Raw genomic sequence first — 7,007 nt, 5'->3', positions numbered from 1 at the left:
CAAAATAATGAAGTGTTTTTCTCCCCTTCTTTAAAGACATATCTAATAATACATGTTCGTGTTTGTTGTGTATACAACATTTCTGGAGAAATACACGAAAAATATTATCAGTGGTTAGTCTGGGGAATGGGAATAGTGGGAGAGAAACTTTTACTTTTTTCTTTGCACACTCTATACTGCTTGAATTTATGATAATGCATTTATTTTATGAAAAAGGAAAACAAGAATGCCCAATATTTAATGTTAAGGTGTTAAAGTTTCCTAGAAGTAAACCCTGTTCATCTCCCCCATATTTTAGTAAGACCACTCACCACTGATGTGAGTGGGATTTTAGGGGGTTAGGGATATGGGATTTGTTTGTTTTCTGAGGAAATCAAGGAAAGGGGCCAGGATTTATGTCTAGCTGGGCTAGAGGCACAGCCCAGACAGCACACATAGGACTTCCAGGCAATTCTTTTTTTTTTTTTTTTTTTTTTTTTTAAAGATGATGGCCTCAAACTCTGGAGCTAAAGAGATCCTTGTTCCTCAGCTCCCTGAGTAGCTGAGGCTGCATGTGCATTCAAAGAAATTGTTGAATTGAATGAATTCAGCAGAAGCTAGAGTCTGGAGACTATGATCACCAAGTAAACATTGTACTTGTGGGAATTCATAGGTTTCTGTCTTACTTAACTTTCCTAGCAACTCTGCAAGGTAGGTATTAGCTATATCTCCATTTTACAGATGAGGAAACTGAAGTTTAGAGTTTACACAATTTTCTAAAGTCCATACAAGGGCAGAAGAGCAGACTTGGGACTTGAACCTACTGAGTCCCCACACTTATGACTATGTGTTTTTTGTTTGTTTGTTTTGAGATGGAATTTGGCTCTTGTTGTTCAGGCTGGAGTGCAATGGCGTGATCTCGGCTCACCACAACCTCTGACTTCCAGGTTCAAGCGATTCTCCTACCTCGGCCTCCTGAGTAGCTGGGACTACAGGCGTGTGCCACCGTGCCCGGCTAACTTTGTATTTTTAGTAGAGATGGGGTTTCTCCATGTTGTTCAGGCTGGTCTCGAACTCCTGACCTCAGGTGATTCACCCACCTCAGCTTCCAAAAGTGCCGGGATTACAGGCGTGAGCCACCGTGTCTGGCCACTTATGACTATGTTATACTTCCACCTCTTCTATGATCTGTGTTTGACAGTCCTCTTAAAATGCAGTATCTGGAGTTGATACCATAGTCCCAATATGACTGGACTGGTACTGAATACAATAACTCTATGTCTTTTCTTGACCTGGCTGTTCTTTTTAATGAACTCAAGATTGCACTAATCACCTGACACAATTGGCTCATATGAAGTCTATAGTCAAGATAAAAATTCCAGCTCTTAGGCCAGGCACAGTGGCTCACTCCTGTAATCCCTGCATTTTGGGAGGCTGAAGTGGGCAGATCATACGAGGTCAGGAGTTCGAGGCCAGCCTGGCCAACATGGTGAAACCCCATCTTTACTAAAAATACAAAAAATTAGCCAGGTGTGGTTTTGGGCACCTGTAATCCCAGCTACTCAGGAGGCTGAGGCGGGAGAATCGCTGGAACCTGAGAGGTGAAGGTTGCAGTGAGCTGAGATCATGCCAGTGCACTCTAGTCTGGGGGATAGAGCGAGATGCCATCTCAAAAAAAAAAAAAAAAGAATCTCAGATCTTTTCACAAGAACCGTTTTAAACCCGTAGGTCACCTGCAAAAGGGGAATGAGATTTCATTTCTCTGAGAATTGTACTAGATATTGTTGATTGTCTAACCCAGAGTCATTCTTTTCTTTTCTTCTTCCTAACAAACCCTACTTTTTTGCAGGTATTTGCCCCTTCTCCAGGAACCCTGTGTGTCTCAAGAAATGCTGGCTCCACTTGCAATTCCAAGGGTGGCCTGATTGATCAAAAGGCGATCTTGTGCCTTTGACTCATTAACAAATAATTTTGGCCCAGGAGATGGAAGTAGAGCTGGGCTGGACCCTTCTAGGAAAGCTTTTCCTCCCTTTTCTGGGTGAACTCCTGGAAATGACCCTTTCTTTCTCTGGATTTATTGCACGTGGATGTGAGCCCTGGATCCGCTGTGGACATGTCATCCCCAACGTGGGATGAAGCTTGCATTACCACAGGAGGCCAGGCAGAGAGATTTCAGGGAAATAGAGATAAGGCCATTGGGATTTGAACCTACTGAGTCTAGATAAGGCCTAGAGATAAGTCAACCCTCTAGGCCTTTTTATACCCTGACTTCTAGCTATGTGAGCCAATGCATTTCTGTCTTGTTTAAACCTTTTTGGATTGAAGGTTGTTTTTTTTTTTTTAATTACACATGTCCTGACTAATGTGGCTATCAAATGGTATAACATTTAGTTGTTATGTATTAGTTTTCTTTCCCTCTGACATGATGGTGGTAGCATGGTGTGGTGATTGTGTGTGTGAGCTTTGCATTTCAAGGTTCCCAGATAGTTTCCTAGCTTCACCTCCTCCAAGTTGTGTGACCTTGGGCAGAATGACTTACCCTCCAAGCCACAGGTCACTTCTATGAAAAGCAAGGGTAATAAAAGTTCCTGTTTCAGATTTGCTGAGAGGATTAATGAAGTCATCTATGTAAAGCAACAGTCCCCAACCTTTCTGGCACCAGGGACCAGTTTTGTGGAAGACAGTTTTTCCACAGACTGGGGGGCTGTTTGTGGTGGGAGGAGTGGGGGATGGTCTTGGGATAAAACTGTTCCACCTCAGATCATTCAGATCATCAGGCATTAGATTCTTATAAGGAGACACAACCCCGATCCCTTGCATGCGCAGTTCACGATAGGGTTCGAGCTGCTACGAGAATCTAATGCCGCTGCTGATCTGACAGGAGGCGGAGCTCAGGTGGTGGAGCCCGCTGCTTATCTCCTGCTGTGCAGCCAGTTCCTATCAGGCCAGCGAATGGGGACTGAGGACCCCTGATGTAAAGGATTTAGTGCTTTATGCTATCTAGCTGCATGATGCACAAAGCACAAAGTGCAGGGCCAGGCTCATGAGAAGCACTTGGTACTCAGTACATTTCAGCTATTATTATTCACTTCCGTGTGTGTGTATATGTGTGCGAGAATGTGCAGCTTAACTGTTGGACCTATATTAAGCACTTCACTTTTTCTGGGTTATGTTTTATATTCTTTTTCACCCTATCATTTCAAGCTGTAGTGATCTCTCTGACTCTTACCGTCCAACATGCTGAAATTTCTTTTCTTGAATATAATTTATGTATTTATTTTAACATCTTGCTTTTGATTGTGATGTTTCTTAAAGTTTTGGTTCATCTAAAGATTCATATGCACATGTCCTCTTGAGCTCACTCCAAGCTGTTAGTAAAAGGGTTGGTATGGCCCCTTCATCCTGCCAGTAGAGATTTCCTTTGAATGTTATTTGCCCCAACCTGATTTCAAGCCCCTGTATCCTGCTTCTCTCTATTTCCCAAGTCACCTGATTTCCACTTGCAGGTTCTACCCTTTTTAGAGTCTGGGGGAAGAAAACTAACATTCGTTAAGCACCTGACGTATGCTAGGCTCATTGCTAGGTGCTTTATGTGTTATGCCTTTTAATCCTCACCCTAAGTGTTCTGTAAACACAGAAGGAACTTGAAGCTCAAAGAGGTTGAACAACTTGCTAGCAAAGAGCTGATCTCTGCAAAAGGCTGTGACTTTTCCACCACTACCAATGCTGCTTCTAATTCTAGTTGTGCTGGTGGCCTAGGAGGGCTGTAGATGACCTTCCTGGGTGTTGTGGAGATCCAGCATCAGGCACACCAATCCCCTAAAGGGCTAGGAGCTCCTGCCCCCAGCTGCTGCAGGCTCAGAGCTGGGCAGATTCCCTGACCGTGCTCTCTGCTGAGGGGCTGCAGCATTACCCAAGGGCACAGCACTCCCTAGGCATGCAGTTCATATCCCAGCGACTGGTCCATGGGGAGCAGAGCAAAGGCCTGGCTCTTTCCTTAATTTAAGACATCCTTAAAAGTCCACCCCACTCCAGACCTCCCCATGGGATCAGGAGGTAGAGGCCTCTAGTTCAACATTTCCTCCGAGTTCAACATCTCCTCCTTCACTCCCTCATGATCAAGAGCCCGTAACCCTCTGCATGCTAATCTCCATCTCAGAAACCTGTCAGGCTGCTTGCCCAGCTCTGTGAGTGTACCCCATTTCCAGCTTTGACCCAGGCTCCACATACCCTAGTTCTGAACATGGAGTCCCCTATCCTGAGTCCCTTCTTTATCCTTCACCTTCAACCTCAGGTACCTGTGGATCGACTGCCCGCCCACCAGCTGGAGCCACGAACATTGTCTGCTCCCAGGCTTCCTGATTTGGCATATGGTTCTCCCAGATCTGCTATTAATTTAACATCCTCCAAAAAAAGAAGTGAGATGAGTATGGTATATATAACTCCATAGCGAGTTGATGCTGGTTTTAGCTGATCACCTCTTCCTTCCTTAAGTGATTAAACCATCTGCTTGATCAACAGAGCTAGAAGTATTCTAAGCAGGGTTTCTACATGTTAAAATGACTCACTTGGCACTCAATATCTGCATTTTCTTTCTTAATTGTTCTTATGTTCTCGGAATCCACCTCTGCCCATTTTTGAAAATTATGGAAGTTCCCCTTGGAAATTTGATCCCTGGACTGCTGCCCAGTGTTCCTGGGATATTAGTAAATTATAAGTTTATTTCATTGGGACCTGGAGACTTGAAAATATCTAAAGCAATAAGAAATTATCATGTTTTACAAATGTATCTTAAGCATCAAATCCTTTCAAGAAGGTTTATAATACTTTTCTAGTTTTAAGCCTATTTTATTTTATTTTATTTTATTTTATTTATTTTACTTTGAGACAGAGTCTCTTTCTGTTGCCCAGGCAGTATGTAGTCACACAATGTCGGCTCACCGCAACCTCTGCCTCCTGGATCAAGCAATTCTTCTATTTCAGCCTCCCAGGTAGCTGGTGCTACAGGCGCCAGCCACCATGCCCAGGTAATTTTTGTATTTTTAGTAGAGACAGGGTTTCACCATGTTGGCCAGGCTTGTCTCGAACTCCCGGCCTCAAGTGATCTGCTTGCCTTGGCCTTTGAAAGTGTTGGGATTACAGGCATGAGCCACCGTGCCCGGCTTTAAGACTTTTTTTCTTTATTGTTTTTATTTTTTTAGAGACAGAGTCTTGCTCTGTCATCCAGGCTGGAGTGCAGTGGCATCATCCTGGCTCACTGCAGCCTTGAACTCCTGGACTCAAGTAATTCTCCTGCCTCAGCCTTCTAAGTAGCTGGGACTGCAGGCATGTGCCTTCACATCCAGCTAATTTTTATTTTTTTTTGGTAGAGATGGGGTCTTACTATGTTGCCCAGGCTGATCTTAAACTCCTGGCCTCAAGTACTCATCCTGCCTTGCCTCCCAAAGTGCTGGGATTATAGGTATGAGCCACTGTGCCTGGCTCTATTTTCTTTTTTAATTTCAAAAATTATATATTTATTTTAAAAAATATTTTCAATTTTTTTTGAGACAGGTCTCAATATGTTGACCAGACTGATCTTGAACTCCTGGCCTCAAGGAATCCTCCCACCTCAGCCTCCCAAAGTACTGGGATTACAAGAGTGAGCCACTGCACCCAGCCCCATTTTCTTTTTTAATTTAAAATTTTTAAAATTTATTTAAAGATATTTTTAGGTGGGGGTCTCACTATTTGGCCAGGTTGGTCTAAAACTCCTGGTCTCAAGCAATCCTCTCATCTTGGCCTCCCAAAGTGCTGGGATTACAGGTGTGAGCCACCATGCCCAGCTGCCCAGTCCCATTTTCTGATGAAGATGATGAAATCTAAATTAAAAGTAAGTTGTTTTGCTCTGTTATTAAATGTTCATTTGTCTTTAAATGTTTTAAGTTTGTTATTTAATGCTCTGTTATGAAAACTTTAGTATCTACTTACTTCATGGGTACCTTAATATGCTAAGTTCTTTATAGACATGACCCCTTTCTAGTAATCCTATGAAGTAGAAGTGATCATTTCTATTGCAAAATATGTGGGATGATTACATTTCTATACAGAAACAGAAATGGGCTCCCAAAGGTTAAAGAACTTACGCATGGTCCTGTCAGTAGTTGGGAACCCAGGGGAGACTCCAGCTTCAGCCCTCTCTGCCTGCCCCAGATCTGTCTCCCTTCCTATCGCATACTGGTCGTCACCGTGCCACCAAGCATGAGTCTGTCCCTCTCCTCTTCTTGATGTTTAAAAAGGCTCTTTTATTGTCTGTGATGGTTAATTTTAAGTGTCAACTTGACTGAGCCATTAGGTGCCCAGATGTTAGGTCAAACGTTATTCTAGGTGTGTCTGTGAGGGTCTTTCTGGATGAGATTAACACGTGAATCTGTAGACTGAGCAAGGCAGTTGTCCCTCCCCAGAGTGGGTGGGCCTCCTCGAAGCCACTGAGGCCTGAATAGGACAAAAGGTGGGGTAAGGGAGCATTGTTCTCTCTGCCTGACTGCTGTCAAGCCAGGACATCGGTCTTCTCCTGTACTTGGACTGGGACTTACACCATCAATTCTGCCGGTTCTCAGGCCTCTAGCTCAGACTGGAGCTACACAACAGGTAATCCTGGGTCTCTAGCTGGCCGATGGTGGACTGTGGAACTTCCCAGCCCCTGTAATGACATGACCTAGTTCTTCATAATAAATCTCTCCCTTTCTCTCTCTATTTCTGTCTCTCTCTCTCCTGTTGGTTTTGTTTCTCTGGAGAGCCCTAACACATTGTCCTTGGCATCATTGCCTCGTTTGGTGCTTCAGAATGCTGATCTAGAGTTCCATGTTCCATTTTGGAACTTGTTGGACATTTGCCATTTTCTTCCGTGTTTCATAAATGTTCTATTAAACACTGAGATTACCAGTGGGCAACTTATATAACTACATAGGTTTTGATATATGCCTTTCCATTTCTCCATACTTGGTGCTGATATTGTGAGAACTTATGTTTTGAATCCCTCATTCCTT

At 43.6% G+C, this 7,007-nt stretch overlaps 1 long non-coding RNA gene across 1 annotated transcript; it reads right to left on the bottom strand.

Annotated features, from left to right (window-relative positions):
• Window positions 1–6,242: 6,242 nt before the first annotated feature.
• On the bottom strand, window positions 6,243–6,795 carry LOC105375845 (uncharacterized). Its single transcript, XR_928904.2, has 2 exons — window positions 6,555–6,795; window positions 6,243–6,453 (listed from the first exon to the last, which is right to left on the bottom strand). It is a non-coding gene; the product is annotated as an uncharacterized LOC105375845 (long non-coding RNA).
• Between the last annotated feature and the right edge of the window lie 212 nt (window positions 6,796–7,007).

The sequence above is a fragment of the Homo sapiens genome, chromosome 8 (assembly GCF_000001405.40).
Source record: "Homo sapiens chromosome 8, GRCh38.p14 Primary Assembly".
NCBI lineage: Eukaryota > Metazoa > Chordata > Mammalia > Primates > Hominidae > Homo > Homo sapiens.
This window is presented reverse-complemented; position numbering and strand designations above follow the sequence as displayed.